General features: G+C 36.8%; 1 long non-coding RNA gene and 1 other non-coding gene across 4 annotated transcripts in view, besides 1 other annotated feature; both read left to right on the plus strand.

Annotated features, from left to right (window-relative positions):
- Nucleotides 1-20,051, plus strand: part of LOC107984041 (uncharacterized) — a 367,164-nt gene that overhangs the window by 71,486 nt on the left and 275,627 nt on the right. For 2 of the 3 annotated variants that reach the window (XR_007059692.1, XR_002956381.2), the window contains exon 3: nt 9,744-9,809. This is a non-coding gene — a long non-coding RNA (uncharacterized LOC107984041). Of the gene's footprint in view, nt 1-9,743; nt 9,810-9,916; nt 10,264-20,051 lie in introns of those variants that run through there. The other variant, XR_002956382.2, reaches the window with a different exon arrangement.
- Nucleotides 4,218-4,321, plus strand: LOC124901545 (small nucleolar RNA U13). The gene has a single exon (XR_007059976.1). It is a non-coding gene; the product is annotated as a small nucleolar RNA U13 (small nucleolar RNA).
- Nucleotides 16,031-16,325: an enhancer, noted in NCBI's record as "tiled region #1689; HepG2 Activating non-DNase unmatched - State 12:CtcfO, and K562 Activating DNase unmatched - State 4:PromP". NCBI's record gives its function as "activates a minimal TATA promoter and a strong SV40 promoter by Sharpr-MPRA in HepG2 and K562 cells {active_cell/tissue: HepG2 | K562}" and the evidence as "EXISTENCE:reporter gene assay evidence [ECO:0000049][PMID:27701403]".

A 20,051-nucleotide genomic window follows, 5' to 3' on the forward strand; every position in this document is an offset into this window, starting at 1 on the left:
TGTCCACTTTTCTTCTCATACTAGATGCAAAACTTCTCTTAAGAACATCATATGACTGTAAAACAAAATATTTATTTTCAAGGTATATGTGATGTTTAATTTTATGTGTCAACTTGACTTGATTAAGGGCTGCCCACATAGCTGGTAAAACCTTATTTCTGGTTGCACGTGGTGGCTCATGCCTGTAATCCCAGCACTTTGGGAGGCCAAGGTGGGCAGATCACTTGAGGCCAGGAGTTTGAGACCAGCCTGGCCAACATGACGAAACTCTGTCTCTACTAAAAATACAAAAATTAGCCAGGCGTCATGGTGCATGCCTGTAATCCCAGCTACTCGGTGGCTGAGGCACGAGAATTGCTTGAACCTAGGTGGCAGAGGTTGCAGTGAGCCGAGATTGTGCCACTGAACCCTAGCCTGGGCAACAGAGCAAGTCTGTGTCTCAAAACAAACAAACAAACAAAAAAACCAAAGCACCTTATTTCTGGGTGTGTCTGTGAGGGTGTTTGCTGAAGATATTAGCGCTTGAATTGGTAAACTGAGTAAAGAAGATCCTCCCTCACCAAATCTGTTGAAGCCCTGGATAGGACAAAAAGGTGGAGAAACTGAATTTATTCTCTCTTCTTGGGATATGCATCTCCTCCCTTTGATGCTGTTAGACAGCAGTGCTCCTGGTTCTTTGGCCTTTAAAGTGAATTATACCACTGGCTTTCCTGGGTCTCCAGCCTGTAGACAGATCATGAGACTTAGCCTCCAGAATCATGTGAGTCAATACCTATAATAAATCCCCTCATGTTCTATGTATATCCTATCGATCCTGTTTCTTTGGAGAATCTTAATACATTATATTATATCTGTTATTACTCCTCATTCATCTAGTCCATTGGTCTTCACCATTTTGTGCAGTGCTCCATCATATCTGATCTTTTGTGTGCCACACTTAAAATTTTCTTAAATTTTTCTGTTTTGCGTCTTCATTCTACAACACCTCAATAAGTAAAATGACAAAAGATTCTCCTTGATAAGAGGTAACATCTTCATATACCTGTAAGGTCTATTCTGGGGTAAGATTTACTTCCCTCTTTTTACTTTCATCTTTTCCAGTTTTCTCAATATTGTCATTTAATTATTATTTAAAAATATTTTTCTATATCTTATTCAGATTATTTATTGATCTGTGGAGAACTGGTCTTAGAGGATGCTGTTTTAAAAATCCTTTCCAGCTGACTTTTGCTTGCAGATTGCACTCTGAGTTAGAAATATCTCTCTTAAAATCATGTTGTTAAATAACTGCTAGTCTGGGGAAGCTTTCATTTAGTTTGCCTAAATTATAAAAAGTGGATCGAGTTGGTTGGAATTCCCTTAAATGCACAATTTTAGTTTATATGGATCTTTCTTAGTTGTGACCCATTAGAATTAGAGTCTGCAGAAAGTCCAAACTCTATACTCTCATAAGAGGCTTATTCTTATTGTTAGTATTTTAGATTTTATTATAGATTTTTTTCTTCTCTTGATGCTTTCATGATACTATTTTATTAATTAATTTTACAAATTAAAATGTGAAAATGTTTTGGGGTGCAGTTTTAATGTTTTTATTTTGTTTTTACAGAAGGGAAAAGATTTCCTATTTTAATATACTTTTGAACATGTTATCTTTGTGTTTAAATAATATGAGAGTGCCGTGAACATGAATTAATTAATCTTGATTCAGTTTATTTTGCTTGCTAAAAATAAGACTGCAAACCAGAAATAATGTCAGTGTTTATTTCAGGATATTCCTGCAGGTCAGTTTTATCAGAAACAATAGTCTGCTTACCTGGGAAGAAACAGTTTGTTAAATAAGAGCTTACTTATCAAAGTTCATTTAAAAATGCTCACATTGGTCAGGTACAGTGGCTCATGCCTGTAATCCCAGCACTTTGGGTGGCCCAGGTGGGCAGATCACTTGAGGTTAGGAATTCAAGACCAGTTTGGCCAACATGGTGAAACCTGGTCTCTACTAAAAATACAAAAATTAGGCTGGGTGTGGTGACTCACCCCTGTAATCCCAGAACTTTGGGAGGCTGAGGCGGGTGGTTCACGAGGTCAAGAGATCGAGACCATCCTGGCCAACATGGTGAAACCCCGTCTCTACTAAAAATACAAAAATTAGCTGAGTGTGGTGGCACGCGCCTGTAGTCCCAGCTACTTGGGAGGCTGAGGCAGGAGAATAGCTTGAACCTGGGAGGCAGAGGTTGAAGTAAGCCGAGATCACGCCATTGGACTCCAGCTTGGTGACAGAGCGAGACTCCTTCTCAAAAAACAAACAAACAAAAAACAAAAATTAACCAGGTGTGGTGGCAGGCACCTGTAATCCCAGCTACTAGGAAGGGTGAGGTAGGAAAATCACTTGAACCCGGGAGGCGAAGGTTGCAGTGAGCTGAGATCTTGCCATTGCATTCCTGCCTAGGCAACAGAGCGAGACTCCTTCTCAAAACAAAACGAAACAAAACAAAACCCCTCACATTGCTGTCTACCAAATTGAAACTATTCTATCACAAACTATGTTCATTTTGAACCAATTTCCTGCCTCAAAAATCTTGCCCTAAACACCTAATCCCAGAAACAATTTTGATTTCTCTTTTCTGAGACACTGCTAAGATTCTTTCAAAGGGATGCTTTCCCTGTTATAGTGAGTTCAAATAAATTTATTTGATTACCAAGTTGCTTGGTGAGATATTGGTGGGTTCAACAATCAGAAACACTAATGTCTAATAGAACTTTATGCAATCATAGAAACATCCAATATGGTAGTCATTAGTCACATGTGCACTTAAAATATGACTAGTCAACTAAGGACCTCAGTTTTAATTTTATTTAATTTTAACTGCTTTAAATTTAAATTGAAGTATACATACACACCTAAGGTCTCTCATATTAGAGAGAGCAGATCTGGAAGTTCCACTGACATTCAGTTGAGTTCTCACCTCACTACTGTGGTTGAGATTTTTTAGTCAGGAACAGTACTTCCACTGAGATTCTTTCACCTTCCTGCCGGAGAGGAAGATTTTGATCTGTTTTTTTTTTCCTTTTGTCATGAAATGCTAAGTTTATATTCTCTTCCAGGAAATACAATTTTGGAGGAGATTGTATAATAATGCTTTCATTATTTTCTGATCAGATTTGAAAGCTGTTATCTTTGTTGAAAAATCAGCTTTGTTATTCATAACTCTACTCTTTATCTTTGTCCTTGCTCTGTGTGTGTGTGTGTGTGTGTTTTTGTCTGTGTGTGACTCTGTAAGAAGAAAGTGAATAAGCATAAGCCCGAATAAGTCTGTTTCTCAGAACAGACCCAGGGACTGAGGACTGCAGAAAGTTTTCACTTAAATCAGTTTCTTTTGGAGAAATTTTGCCTTACATTATTATCAATTAGTGTCTAATGAGAATTTTCCTTAGTTTTGTCTTGTTTGCTTCCCATGAGAACTTGATTCTGGAAGATATCTCTCATCCAAAGTTTCCATCTACACAGACTTTGAAGTCTGTATAGTTGACTGATTCTAAGGGAGAGGTTGTGTGATGTAGAAGGGTAAAGGCCAACCATTTGAGGGCCCAAGACAAAAGGTGCATCAACAATACTGTTGATGGGTTGATGCTAGAATTCTCATGAGTTTATCTCATTTTAAACTAAGTCTGTGCCTCATTCTGGTCAATTCTCCTAACTCTTACATATTTTTACACATCAATTTCTGTAAATATCTTTCTAAATGACCTGATTTCACCTTGAATAATTTAGATCATAGTCACTTTGAGAAACTTTCGATATGAACAAAATTGTTTATTTGAGAAGCACTTTGGAACAGAAAGGGAAAAAAATCCCAAACATCCAATGGCGGACATTGATTTTATTGTTATAATGAAACTCCCAAAAGAAACTCTGATTCCAAAATTGCTTCCTTAAAAGTTTCTTTGGCTAATAAATGTGAAAAACTTGAAATTTCTTTCTTTTAGATAGTCCCAATCAGAACTTGAACTTAATGGATTTTGTCTTACTGTCTTGCTTCATCTTTTGCTTTTCCATTATACTCTACCACTACTCCTCTTTCTGATCTGGTTTTCTTATCTTTTGGGTGTCCAGAAACCCCCAAAGCTGACCCATCTCTGAAAGTTAAATTCCCTTTAGAAAAGGCAAATCTTTTCTGGTTGACTTTAAGCCCTAAGACTCATAAAAAGACTAGCGTTAGATCCTTTTGTAATTTATAAGCATCATGGTTAGGATTTAATGCTCATATGTGAGCTGAGCCTCCCTCAAACATTGTTAGGACATCAACACAATACCAGTCTGATATGGAAAAAAAAAGACTAGTATTAGATGAAAGTCATTGTCAAAGACTTTCATACCTGTAGATGAGATAGAAATTTACAAAAGCATTTAGAATAGCTTTAAAAACATAAAACCCAGGTTTCTGGATCAATATCAATTGGTTTATATGTTAAGAGTAATCTTATATACAAAAATTGGATTAAAAAAGGACTAAATGGGCCATAAGAATTACTACTTAAGAAGCCTCTGAATTGCACAGGAAACCAGAATGATTTACAAAAGCTGTGGAATTGCTAAATTAAAAATTCTCCCTTTTAGAGCAGTTTTAGTTTCACAGCAAAATTAGTAGAAAGTAAAACAAACAAACAAAACTCTCCCAATTATCTTTTTCTTCAAGTCTTTTAGAATTCCCCTGTTGATAATCAGATTATAGATTTTTAGCTAAACTAAACTTTGACTTTCCAGTATTTTTGTATCTACATGAAGCCCAGGTTGAAGATCTTCATGCTAGATTCTTTATGGGCAAAAATTCTACTGATATTTGCAGAATTGTTGGGGATGAACTAGTTAAGGTTCAGATTGATCCAAGGCTTTTATAATATCCTCCAAAACCAGAAGCTACGAAAGTTCTCAAGTCAATAGCTAAAAGCCAAGTAGGCAAAGAATATTAGTCATACATTATACTGGTCTTTGTACCACTCCAATTCATTTAGCCAAGAAAATGAATGGGTGAGGATATAGATTGTTCAGGACCTTAAGCCCAAATAAAAGTCAATCTCTGCTTTCCTGTGGTACCAAATCCCAATACTATTTAATCTTCAATGCCATCATTATAAACTTTGTTCTGCTTTTTTTAGTGTCCCTTTAGATTAAAAATAGTCAATACCTGTTTATTTGTTTGTTTTCTCCTAGGAAAGTTAAAATATTTACCTGGGCAGTTGAAGGTTTATGGAGTCACCCTTCCATTTTTCACAGGTGCTTAACAAGGAACTTCAGTACTGCAAATTTTTCTTAGTATGTTGACTAACTTTTGCTATGTTCTAAAGACAAGTTGAGCTTGAAGGCTGATTTTGATTTACTTAATGTTCTAGCTCAGAATGGTTATATCATTTCCTGCCCCCCAAAATTACAATTTTGTCAAAACACAGTGCATTATCTGGGACATAATTTATCTTAAGGGGAGTACATTCTTCACCACTGATAGGTTACAAGCCACTCAAAATTTTCCTAGACTGATTACTAAGAAATAATTAAAAGGTTTTCTAGTTTTCACTGGCACCTGCAAGCAATGGATTCCTAGCTTTTAAAAAATCATCTCATCTTTATGTGACTTATTTAGTCCTTGGTAGCTGAAACTGTTTTCTGGGAATCTATATATTAATAGGCATTTTGTGACATAAAATTACGTCTTCAAAAGCCTCAGACTATGGGCCTTTCTAATTATAAACTCTCTACCTATTTGTGTATGAATGCTCTGGGAAATCCCTTAGTGTTCTGATCCAAAGCCATGGGAATAATCACAGACAAATTACTTATTTCAGCCTTTCCCTAGATCCATAATCTTGTGTAAGCAGCAGCAGCAGCCAAACAAGTGGAGGCTTCACTGACTGAGTTTTAGGATCTTTCTTAAGCTTGATGTTTTTTTTTTTGCGGTGTGTAATCTGTGTTACTTACTGAAAATACATCCCATTTCTCAGCAAGCAGGCTTAACTCCTGAAATTTTATTACTTTCTCCTTCACCAATTCTGTCCATTTTTGTAATATTTTAAATCCTACTAACCTCTTTCATTACCCAAAGGAAGGTAATCCCACAATTGTTTAGCTTCGTTCAATAACTGACTATGTTTGAACAGGTTTATTATAAATTGCCCTAGAATATTCTGATTCAGTAATGTTTGTTGATGGGTCATCTCTTACCTCTGAAACTGGAAAATATCAGGCAGTGTATTCCATGACAAATATCAATTCACTCCTAAAATATACCTAATCAGAAGTAAATTTAGCCTTGATGGTAGAATTTTTTGCACTTGCCAGAGCTTGACAATAGCCAAAGACAAGGTTGATTTATACCCTCAGAGCAGGTAAGCCACTGGATAAGTCTACAATTTTGGAATGCTTTGGAAACAACATTTTAAAAATTGTAGTGTCTGTCTCTATATATTACTCTATATCTGTATATATAACCGTGGCATTAAGTACATACACAATGTTGTGCAACAATTACCACTATCTATTTCTAGAACTTTGTCATCATCCCAAACAGGAACTCTGTACCCACTAACTGTTCCCCACTGCTCCCAGCTCTTGTAACCTGTATTCTACTTTCTATAGCTATCAATTTCCTTATTCTAAGTAACTCATATAAGAGGAATTACATGGCATTTGTTCTTTTGTGTTTGGCTTATCTCGCTAAGCATAATGTTTTCAAGGTCGCATGTATCAGAATTTCATTCTTTTTTTATGTCTGATTAGTATTTCATTATATGTCTATACCACATTTTGTTTATCCATTCCCCTGTTGATGGACACTTGGGTCGTTTCCACCTTTTGGCTATTGGGAATAATCCGGCCATGAACATTGGTGTACAATATCTGTTTGAGTCCCTACTTTCAATTCTTTGGAGTATATACCTTGGAGTGGAATTTCTGGGTTATATGGTAATTCTATGCTTAACTTTTTGAGGAACAGCCAAACAATTTTCCAGAGTGACAGCACCATTTACATTCCCACCAGCAATGCATAGGGGTTCTAATTTCTCTACAACCCCACCAACACTTGTTATTTTCCATACTTTTGACAACAGCTATCCTAATGGGTGCAACGTATTAATAAATGTTTTTAATCTTAGCAATTAACCATTGCTATGGAATTGTGTCCCTCCAAAATTCAAATATTGAAGTTCTAACGCCTAATATGATGGTTTTTGGAGGTAGAGCCTTTGGGAGGAAATTAAGTTTAGATGAGATCATGAGGGTGGAGACTTTTTGATGGGATTCATGCCCTTATAAAAAGAGGCACCAGAGACCTTGCTTTCTCTTCTCTACTGAGGAAGGCCATGTGAGCACACAGAAATATGGCTCCATCAACATGCCAAGAAAAGAGCTCTCACCAGAACCTGCCTATGCTGGCAGCCTGATTTTGGATTTCCAGGCTCCAGAACTGTGAGAAAATAAATTTCTATTGTTTAATCCACTCGGTCTGTGGTATTTTGTCATGATAGCATGAGCTGACTAAGACCCCAGATAGAAATGGTTAACAGATTAAATAAATTTTAAATATTCTAGAACTTCCTGACAGTTGGCTATCATAAAAGTTGAAGCTATGCAAAAACATATAGCATGGAGTTAAAGGAAATGCCTACATAATCAGTATGGCAGGCAGATAGCCCTCACTAAGATTCTGGGCACTATGATAATCCTTGAAGCCAATTCTTTTGAAAGGTTGAAATAAGCTATTGTAGAATGCCAGTGATTGACCCCAGAAACTGAAAAGAGTTACTGGAAAAAATCTGGTTGTAAATTTCAAGAGGATATTCTCTGACACTTTAGAGTAGATACTTGATGATACCAGAGGACCTCAACTGAAACCTTGCCAAAAATTTTACATGAAATCATCTACTACAACAAGGACAAATTGATCACTATAGTCAGTCAATGTAAGTGAAGAAATTTTTACTAGGATTGCTGAGGGTGTCTCTGGTAGATGTCTATAAATGTACGATATGGACAAGAACCCATACCAATTCGGACAAGAACTTCGTGTCAACGTCTTCAAAGAGTCTATATAACCTACTTTCTTCTATGGGTTTTGAATATGTCCTTATCAGTATTTGCTAATGCTTAGAGTGAGCTGAAATATTTACTTGCTAGAGAGCTGTGGTTCTGAGAGTATCAAACACATTGTTGTGTTCTCAACCTGGAATTCCAATCCCTCCAGTGATACAACACTCATCTTACTAGGACTGTTAGAAGATTTTGTAAAGCTTTGTACTTACTCAGAAACTTCATTGTGCCTATCACTCTCAAACCATAGGTAAATTAGGTAGGGCTAATCATATTTTAAAACTCAAACTTGCAAAATCATCTGACATTTTTTGTCTCCCTTGCCCAAGGTTATTCACTCTGGCCCTTAAGACAATGAAGTTAACACCTCCCAGCAGTCATTGCCTCTTACCACATGGACTTTTAAAAGGTCATACTATGAGACTGGCTATTTCTTTACTAATTTTGGACTGTACTTCAGATATACATCTCAGATTAATTAGACTCAGAAATGAGCTAGACTCAGAAAGGGAAAATGTGGAATGCATTTAATACCTGTCTCTCATGTTTACAGACTTTACCAACAAGGTTTCCTATGTAGGTAAATCTTTGGATTCTTTATAAAATATAACATTTCATCTATTTCATGACATCCTTACTGCATGTTCTCCTATCTGGCACCTAATTATCTCTAAAGAGTGTCAAAACCATACAATACAATTTAGCGTCAATGAAGGGGTATTTTGGCCGAGAGCTTGTTATTTGGGAAGCTCCCTACCACAGGTATTGAATCTGTGGCACAAAAGCCTTTTGAATATTATCAGTAACTTAGACAGGAGCTTATCTTTGTAAATTAATGCTTGTGTCAGGCTACTCAGGTAGTCTTTGCTATCACTCTGGCTACATTTTGATTGCTATTTTTCCTTCTCAGAAAAAGGTAACTACACAGCTTGTTTCAAAGAAGAAAATAACTATGTCTTTACTAAGATATGAAACCGTAACTACACAGGGAAATTATAGATGGTTTTCTTCTGCTTTCAAGCCTCTTTATATCACTTTTTATTAGAGGCATGGATGATGGGGAAAATATTAACATGTTATGGTTCAGATATTGAAAGGAGAGTTAGACAATGTCAGTAAGTTCATAGAAATCAATAGAACAACTTCTCTGTTCAAAAATAGAGTCCATAGACATAAGTGGACTGTAGAGGTATTATGTGTACCATTTTAGGAAAAAGAATATTCTTTTTACCCCCATAGATATTTCTGATAATTTTAATATTGATAAGAAGGTCCAGGAAACCAATAAGAACATTATAAAATTAGGTAATTTGACTAAAATGCACATATTTAGTCTATAGGCTTTTTGGTGGATGCAGTCTGTTTTCTGGATTTAGTTTAGTTTGGCCACCCCTGGCTCTTGGCTTATGTGTAGATTACAGAATCTGTTCATAGTATTCTTGGTATTTCACAGTGGTACTACAATGTTCAAATGTGTAATCTCTAGCATCTTAAATGCTTTTCATAACCACTGTTCCATCAAATGATAATCCAACAAAAAGAACAAGGAAACCTGGTGTATGCAGTGGTTGAAATGACCACCAACAGAATTCAGGTATGTAATGATGACTGTACAAACATCTATGTAATCATCTCCCCCATGTGATAACCATCTGTTTTCCAGATCAGGCTGAAGAATGACCATGATGGAGAATTGAGAAACAAGACCATCTGCATCAACAGGAATTTGGTAAGATTTTAGACTATGTCGACCTGACCTAGTTGTTTGTTCCAGGAAAATTTTGTCTGGGAGAGATAAAACTATAAACCAATATATAAATTCACTGTTTGTTTCAGAACTTTCCTACAGACCAATTTATTGGACATAATCTGGTGACCTGGGCATCTGGTGACCTGGGAGAACTGCTCACTTATCAAACAAGGGCTTATTTTTTAAGATTTGCTTCAAGACCCTCACTGTGCTATGTCTACTAATCCTAAATGAATATACCAAAAACTTTTATCCAATCCTAATCAGTTCCCTGTCTTGAAAGACCTACCTTAAATCACCTGGGTTCAGACCTCACCATCTTATAACAATCTCAGTGCTGATAGCCTTCTTTTGAGATACTGCTAAAACTTTCTCAAGATGGTGTTCTCCTTTAGTGCAGAAATTCCAAATAAAGTTGGTTTTGCTATATTAACAAGTTGTTGGGTGACATTTTTGGAAGTTTAGCAAAAATCTCTATAAACATCTTTAGAAAAAATAAGGTTACCATTTCTTATAATGTTTAGATTTAATATGTTGAGGAGATTACTTCAGAAGTTTAGAAAAACTACTGATTTTAGAGATTGAAAAAAAATTATTATTGAATTTTTAAAATTTCTCTTTAAAATTTATTCAAAAAGCAAGTATATTATGAAAGTTGAATAAACCAGAGCTGTTGGCATGTGAGGGTTAAGTAGCATTGTTTGTAGTTGTAAGACGTTATTTCTACACATTAAAAAAAAAAAGTTTCAAGTTGTAATTTAGGTGAAAAAAGAATCAATTGCTGTGGCTTATTCAATGCCCAAAATTTCCAAATGAAAAATAAGAAAAAATGTGCAAGCTATTGTTGACAATGTGAAGAGAGGTATTGGGAGCAAAATGAAAAGAACTTTAAAACATTGAGCATTAGAGGGTATTTAAAAGAAAGATAACATTTGGGAAAAGGTTTGATTGAGATAAAGTTGGTTAAAATTTGTCCTGTATCTATCAAATTGAGTATTGATTTTGTGCATGTATATATTGTGCTGACTGAAATTAAAATGATAAAACTTAGAGATTTGGAAACTAGAATAGGGGAAAAAAAGAGGGCTGTAGGGTGACCTAAATTTCAGTTAGATACTACTGACTGCAAGTAGTAAAGGGACTATTTAGATTTCAAAGGAAAAATAAGAAATTTAGCTAGGTGAATTAATACTGTAACTGACTTTAAATCAAAAGAATATGGATTATTTACATTGTACTTATTTGAAATAGGAGTTATATAAACTTACTCTTTTATTTTGATTTTGTTTACGCTGTGCCACTCCAAATGTTCCGACTGTGTTAGGAAAGAAAATGATTCAGAGAAACTCTGATTGATTAAAGCAGCATTATGAGTAGTATTCTGGGTGTTTTAGAAACTAAAACACATTAATAAAACTTATTTTTTGAAAAAGAGTATAAATTTGGTCATTTACTGGCTTAGTAGTGATTTTCATTTTAGTGCAATTATGCTTATATTCTTCCTGAAATATCATTGGATATTATCATAACATACCACTTTTATAATCTCTGACTCTCAAAATATCTTTGAGATAGAGATAAAAACTTGCTACACTTTTAATGAAGTGATGATCATTGAAGTCAATAGGTTGTACATATTATACACAATAGAAGCGTTTTGCAAATCCCTCTCTGTATTTTCTTCATTGTTGATATATGTTATCAACAAGAGTATTATGCAACTGGAAAGCAAAATTCCTCTTTATAGATGCCACATTTTAGGGACTGTAAACAGAATCACAAATCAGTGGTACCATATGCTGACAATACTTCTTTGGTAGAAAGCATCTCTATTTGCCATGATTATGAAGAATCACACTTTTTGTGTTTCAATACTTGAGAATAATTATAATAACCAGCAACTCAAGCTTTTTTAAAAAAATGTTTGTTTGTTCTGCCTTCTATCCTGTCATGTCATAGAATGGTTGCTTGTTCCTAGTAGGGCCACATACTGCTTCATTTATGATCAATGTGACAGAAAGCCTTCCTTCCTACATCAGGATCAAAAGTCTTCCTTTTGAACCACTCAGATGAGTTGACACAGTGTGCTAATTGGCTTAGGCCTAGAAAATCTGGTCCAGTGACTGTGGGATGAAGAATGGAATTACCAATTACCTGGGGCCAGTGTAGGACTCATTCCTAGAACTGGGATCATTAGCTCCTACCCATGGAGCTAATGGTGCCAGGAATGGATGTTGGGAGAACAATCACAACATAATACTGCCTGTCTCCAAACTGATGTCTATGATGCTTCTCTATAATTAAATGTTGACCTTTCTCTTCTTTCTGTTTATTGAAATACTCATCTTGTAAGGATAAGGTAAAGATTTATTTTCTTGCTACAAGACACCTTCTTTGACTCTTAATCCTCATTATCTATTTTCTCTGTTGGACTAATATTTTATACCATATAATATACAGCTAGATTATATGCTGCCATTTAAAGTTGACTCAGCTAATTTTTAATAGGTTTAAGGCACAAATAAATAACAAAGAATACTCTTATTTTTACCCTGCACTTGTTTCATGTGAGTACCTTTTGTTTTTCAAGCCAGGTTGTACACTCTTTGTGACAGCTGTTTTTCCCTTGTTTTCTGCTGTGCCTTACAGAGTTAGGTTCAGAGTAGAAATGGCAGACTATTATTGTCTAATTCTTAATGGTCCAAAACACAGAACTGCTAATTATTGCTATGTTGTTGGTCATTAAAATTTTAAAGCTTAATTTTAGGTATTATATTTGGTTTTATCTTAAAATGATATTAATTTTAGTTTAAAAAACCATTAAAATTTTAATTTAATCACATAATAGTCTTAGCTTCTTATGTTTTAACTAAATATATATTACAGAGGAATGAAGACTATATATGAAATTATTTTAAATTGCAAAAAGATTCTCAGCTGTGCAAGAACTGTTACTCAGAGTCTCTTGAGTGCTTAATAAATATTTTGTCTCATTACTGTCTAGTTCATGTTTGCTTATCCATTGGAAAATTAAAATAAATCTCCTAATTTTCATAATGATTTTATAATATATCAATCTTCTTTATAACTCCTCCGAGAAAGGATGGTCAATGAGGCATTCTGTAAAAGAAGGTTAAAGGTTTTGTTATTTTAAATCTGCATATTAAGCTCATAATTCGAAATGCTTATGGTTTTCTCAAGTTCCTTCTAATGGCTGTATTGTTTTATTTACTCTGCTTAATGTAACTTCTAAATAAATTATGAGTTATCATAAGCTTTCTCTAAAATATGATGATTTTGAATCATAGAAAAATGATTGATGTGCTGTAAATTATCATTCTTAGGAGTAGGGATCTTTGGAGCCGTGCAGGGATCTTTGGAGCTGTGTTTGAATCCTAACTGAATGACATTAAACATTAATTGGATGACACTGGGCAAGTTACTTAACTTCTCTGGTGCCTCAGCTTTCTCATTTGTACAACAGTGATAATAATAGTACCTACATTATAGGATTCTCATGAAGGTAAAAGTTTGGTTTAACTTTATTTCTGCATATGAGTTGTATGCAAAATGTCATCATAGAATTACAGAATTAGACATGGCAAAACCTATTTGCTCTTTATTGAAAGATGACTGTTCTTAAGTACTACTTAAGTTAGCATAAGTAAAATGCCTAAGTTGTAAGTATACAAGGGAATCCTTTTAGAATTCAAAGGAGAAAATACAGCTGCCATTCACTAGGTCTGGAAGCAGGATTTGGAAAGCAGCAGAAATCAAGGCAGCTTCTCTCCCTCTTTTTCCCTCTTTATTGTGGGCTGTAAGGACTCTCTGCTAAGCATCTTTTTGTGTAAGTCTGCTTTATGATTCTCTGTTTTTCCAGATACCCTTCCTCTGTTCCATTTGCTCATGAGCCTGACTTAGCTACCTCACCTTGGCACTGTATCCCTTAAGTGAACTGCCCATCAGAGATAAACTAGAATTCTTGTATCCTTATAACTGATTTTGGGACAAATCATAATTTGTCCAGCTCAGACAAGTTACCCACAATCATCTAGTAAACTAGGCCAAGGGGAGGAGGGATAACACAGCCCCCTGTCCATTCAGAAGGGGGTTTGGGGCCCACTATTCCTAGAACAGGCATTGACTAACAGGGAAATTGACTAGCAAGTTCTGTTTAGCTCTGTTTTGAAGATGGACTTAAAAATTTAACAGAAGGAATGTAAAAACAAAGTAGAGAATATCTGTTAATTAATTTCCTAATCAATTTATTTTTAAAGTGACTTACATACATTTTCACTGTTCACCTTTCCATGTGTCCCCTTAGCCTCATGTCTGGCACATGACATGGAGGATGGTGGCTGTCCTGTCTACTCCTTACATCATAGGAACAGGGGATGAGTAAAATGGAGGCCCAGATGTCTAAATATTTAAAGTTACAAATCAAACTAACAGATTGTTGAATAAAATATGTTTTATCCTATTTCTTTTACAAATTGACCTTCATAATTATTAGAAAGGCCAGATTTAAAGTTAGGGATCTCAGACTCCATGAGGTTCTATGCTCAAATGAGGTGGCTTACCCATTTTTCTTTCTACTGCTGGCTCTGTGAGGGACTTACGTCCACATATATGCTCAACTTGGTCCACCTGTCCAAACTCTTTGCAGGCCTTAGAAACTGGCTCTAAAAAGTGCAGAGCTCAGGTCCGTGTTCCCTCTTACCTGAGCCTAAAGACAGTTCAGGTGGTGAAAGGAAGTATGTATATCCATTAGATTATGATTCCAGGTGTCAATGAGATTTATCATTGAATGAAAATAAGGAGAGTATTTAATTTTCATAAAGTGGGAGGTTTATGTCATTAACTAAGAAAGGCCAGAGAACATTGATTATTAAATATGGAGGTTTTACTTTTGCATTTAATAAATGGAAAATATAGAAAAAATATTAATCATCTCTTTTTTAAAGAAGTCCAAAGCACAAGAAATGCAACAATTATACTTCTTGATATCAATTGTTAAGAAAAAGTTAATAAATTAGACAATGTAAAAAGTGGATTAGTATTTCATGGAAAACAGAAAAAAGCGGGGTTACAACCTTAGTTTCAGACAAAACAGACTTCACATCAACAAAGACAAAAAAAGACAAAGGGCATTACATAATGGTAAAGGGTTCAATTCAGCAAGAAGAGGTAACTTTCTTCAATATATACGTGTCCAATACAAAAACACCCAGATTCATAAAGCAAGTTCTTTGAGACCTTTGAAGAGACTTAGACTCTAACACAATAATAGTGCGAGACTTTAACTCCCCACTGACAATATTAGGCAGATCATCGAGATAGAAAACTAAAAAAGATTTGCAGGAGCCAAACCCAACTTTGGATCAAGAGGACCTGCTAGATATCTACAGAACTCTCCACCCAAAAACAACAGAATGTACATTCCTCTCATCACCACATGGCACTTACTCTAAAATTGATCACCTAATTGGAAGTAAAACACTCCTCAGGAAATGCATAAAAACTGAAATAATAATAAACAGGCTTTCAGACCACAGTGCAATCAAATTAGAACTCTAGATTAAGAAATTCGCTCAAAACCACACAACTACATGGAAATTGGACAACCTGCTCCTGAATAAATCTTGGGTAAATAAGGCAGAAATCAAGAAGTTCTCTGAAAATTATGAGAACAAAGAGACAATGTACCTCAATCTCTGGGACGTGGCGAAAGCAGTGTTACGAGGGCAATTTATAGCACTGAATGCCCGTATCAAAAAGCTAGAAAAATCTCAAGTTTACAACCTAATATCTCAACTAAAAGAGCTAGAGAACCAAGAGCAAACAAACCCCAAAGCCAGCAGAAGACAAGAAATAACCAAGATCAGGGCTGAATTGAAGGAGGTAGAGACATGTAAAACCCTTAAAAAAATTAATGAATCCGGGAGAGGTGTGGTAAGATGGCCGAATAGGAACAACTCCAGTTTGCAGCTCCCAGCATGATTAACGCAGAAGACAGGTGATTTCTGCATTTCCAACTGAGGTACCTGGTTCCTGTCACTGGGACTGGTTGGACAGTGGGTGCAGCCCACGGAAGGCGAGCTGAAGCAGGGTGGGGCATTGCCTCACCTGGGAAGCACAAGGGGTCGGGGGATTTCCCTTTCCTAGCCAAGGGAAGCCGTGACAGACTACCTGGAACAAGGGGACACTTCTGCCCAAATACTGCACTTTTCCTAAGGTCTTAGCAACCGGCAGACAAGGAGATTCTCTCCCTTGCTGGGCTCGGTGGGTCCCATGCCCATGGAGCCTTGCTCTCTGCTAGCACAGCAGTCTGAGATTGAACCGCTAGGCGGCAGCCTGGCTGGGGGAAGGGCATCCACCATTGCTGAGGCTTAAGTAGGTAAACAAGCAGCTGGGGAAGCTCAAACTGGGCGGAGCCCACCACAGCTCAACAAGGCCTGCTGCCTCAGGACTCCACATCTGTGAGCAGGGCATAGCTAAACAAAAGGCAGCAGACAACTTCTTCAGCTGACAGCTCTGAAGAGAGCAGTGGTTCTCCCAGCATGACATTTGTGCTCTGAGAATGGACAGACTGCCTCCTTAAGTGGGTCCCTGACCCCCGTGTAGCCTAACTGGGAGACACCTCCCAGTAGGGGCCAATAGACACCTCAAACAGGTGGGTGCCCCTCTGGAACGAAGCTTCCAGAGGAAGGATCAGGCAACAATATTTGCTGTTCTGCAATATTTCCTGTTTTGCAGCCTCCGCTGTTGATACCCAAGCAAACAGGGCCTGGAGTGGACCTCCAGGAAACTCCAGTATACCTGCAGCTAAGGGACCTGACTGTTAGAAGGAAAACTAACAAACAGAAAGGAATAGAATCAACATCAACAAAAAGGACATCCACACCAAAACCCCATCTGTAGGTCACCAATGTCAAAGACCAAAGGCAGATAAGAACCACAAGGAGGGGGAGAAACCAGAGCAGAAAAGCTAAAAATTCTAAAAATCAGAGTGCCTCTTCTCCTCCAAAGGATTGCAGCTCCATGCCAGCAATGGAACAAAGCCGGATGGAGAATGACTTTGATGAGTTGACAAAAGTAGGCTTCAGAAGGTCAGTAATAACAAACTTCTCCAAGGTAAAGGAGGATGTTTGAACTCATATCTAGGAAGCTAAAAACCTTGAAAAAAGCTTAGATGAATGGCTAACTAGAATAAACAGTGTAGTGAAGACTTTAAAGACCTGATGGAGCTGAAAACCATGGCATGAGAACTTCATGAAGCATGCACAAGCTTCAATACCTGATTTGATCCAAGTGGAAGAAAGGGTATCAGTGATTGAAGATTAAATTAATGAAATACCGCGAGAAGACAAGGTTAGAGAAAAAAGAGTAAAAAGAAACAAACAAAGCCTACAACAAATATGGGACTATGTGAACCAAATCTACGTTTGATTGGTGTACCTGAAAGTGATGGGGAGAATGGAACCAAGCTGGAAAACACTCTGCAGGATACTATCCAGGAGAACTTCCCCAACCTAGCAAGGCAGGCCAACATTCATATTCAGGAAATACACGGAACACCACAAAGATAATCCTTGAGAAGAGCAACTCCAAGACACATATTGTCAGATTCACCAAAGTTGAAATGAAGGAAAAAATGCTAAGGGCAGCCAGAAAGAAAGGTTGGGTTACCCACAAAGGGAAGCCCATCAGACTAACAGCAGATCTGTTGGCAGAAACCCTACAAGCCAGAAGAGAGTGGGGACCAATATTCAACATTCTTAAAGAAAAGAATTTTCAGCTCAGAATTTCATATCCAGCCAAACTAAGCTTCATACGTGAAGGAGAAATAAAAGCCTTTACAGAAAAGCAAATACTGAGAGATTTTGTCACCACCAGGCCTGCCTTACAAGAGCTCCTGAAGGAAGCACTAAACATGGAAAGGAACGACCGATACCAGCCGCTGCAAAAACATGCCAAATTGTAAAGACCATCGATGCTAGGAAGAAACTGCATCAACTAACAGACAAAATAACCAGCTAACATCATAATGACAGGATCAGATTCACACATAACAATATTAACGTTAAAAGTAAGGTTAATTTAATTGGGGCTAAATGCCCCAATTAAAAGACACAGACTGGCAAATTGGAAAAAGAGTCAAGAACAATCAGTGTGCTGTATTCAGGGGACTCATCTCATGTGCAGAGATGCAGATAGGCTCAAAATAAAGGAATGGAGGAAGATCTGCCAAGCAAATGGAAAGCAAAAAAAAAAAAGGGAGGGGTTGCAATCCTAGTCTCTGATAAAACAGACTTTAAACCAACAAAGATTAAAAGAGACAATGATGTGGAGAAATAGGAACACTTTTACACTGTTGGTGGGAGTGTAGGGGTGTAAACTAGTTCAACCATTGTGGAAGGCAGTGTGGCAATTCCTCAGGGATCTAGAACTAGAAATACCAGTTGACCCAGCCATCCCATTACTGGGTATATACCCAAAGGATTATAAATCATGGTGCTATAAAGACACATGCACACGTATGCTTATTGTGGCACTAATCACAATAGCAAAGGCTTGGAACCAACCCAAATGTCCAACAATGAGAGACTGGATTAAGAAAACGTGGCACATATACACCATGGAATACTATGCAGTCATAAAAAAATGATGAGTTCATGTCCTTTGTGGGGACATGGAGGAAGCTGGAAACCATCATTCTCAGCGAACTATTGCAAGGACAAAAAACCAAACACTGCATGTTCTCACTCATAGGTGGGAATTGAACAATGAGAACCCATGGACACACGAAGGGGAACATCACACACCAGGGCCTGTTGTTGGGTGGGGTGAGTGGGGAGGGATAGCATTAGGAGATATACCTAATGTAAATGACGAGTTAATGGATGCAGCACACCAACATGGCACATATATACATATGTAACAAACCTGCACATTATGCACATGTACTCTAGAACTTAAAGTATAATAAAAAAGATTAAAAAAAAGAGAGACAAAAAAGGCCATTACATCATGGTAAAGGGTTCAATTCAAAAAGAAGAGCTAACTATCCTAAATATATATGCATCCAATACAGGTGCACCCAGATTCATAAAGCAAGTCCTGAGAGACCTACAAAGAGACTTAGACTCCCACACAATAATAATGGGAGACTTTAACACCCCACTGTCAATATTAGACAGATCAATGTTGTTAATCAGTTAATCAGTAGATTAACAACGATATCCAGGACTTGAACTCAGCTCTACACCAAACAGACCTAATAGACATCTACAGAACTCTCCACCCCAACTCAACAGAATATACATTCTTCTCAGCACCACATTGCACTTATTCCAAAATTGACCACATAGTTGGAAGTAAAGCACTCCTCAGCAAATGTAAAAGAACAGAAATCACAACAAACTGTCTCTCAGACCACAGTGAAATCAAATTAGAACTCATGATTAAGAAACTCACTCAAAACTACACAACTACATGGAAACTGAACAGCGTGCTCCTGAATGACTACTGGGTAAATAATGAAATGATGGCAGAAATAAAGATGTTGTTTGAAACCAATGAGAACAAAGACAGAAGGTACCAGAATCTCTGGGACACATTTAAAGCAGTGTGTAGAGGGAAATTTATAGCACTAAATGCACACAAGAGAAATCAGGAAAGATGTAAAATCGCCACCCTAACATAACTAAAAGAACTAGAGAAGCAAGAGGAAACACATTCAAAAGCTAGCAGAAGGCAAGAAATAACTAAGATCAGAGCAGACCTGAAAGAGATAGAGACACAAAAAAACCCTTCAAAAAATCAATGAATTGAACAGCTGGTTTTTTGAAAAGATCAATAAAATAGATAGACCACTAGCAAGACTAATAAAGAAGAAAAGAGAGAAGAATCAAATAGACACAATAAAAAATGATAATGGGGATATCACCACCAATCCCACAGAGATACAAACTATCATCAGAGAATACTATAAACACCTTTATGCAAATAAACTAGAAAATCTAGAAAAAATGGGTAAATTTCTGGACACATATACCCTCCTAAGACTAAACCAGGAAGAAGTTGACTCGATGAATAGACCAATAACAGGTTCTGAAATTGAGGCAATAATTAATAGCCTACCAACTAAAAAAAGTCCAGGACCAGACGGATTCACAGCCGAAGTCTATCAGAGGTAAAAAGAAGAGCTGGTACCATTCC

This window comes from Homo sapiens, chromosome 6 (assembly GCF_000001405.40).
Source record: "Homo sapiens chromosome 6, GRCh38.p14 Primary Assembly".
NCBI classification, from domain to species: domain Eukaryota; kingdom Metazoa; phylum Chordata; class Mammalia; order Primates; family Hominidae; genus Homo; species Homo sapiens.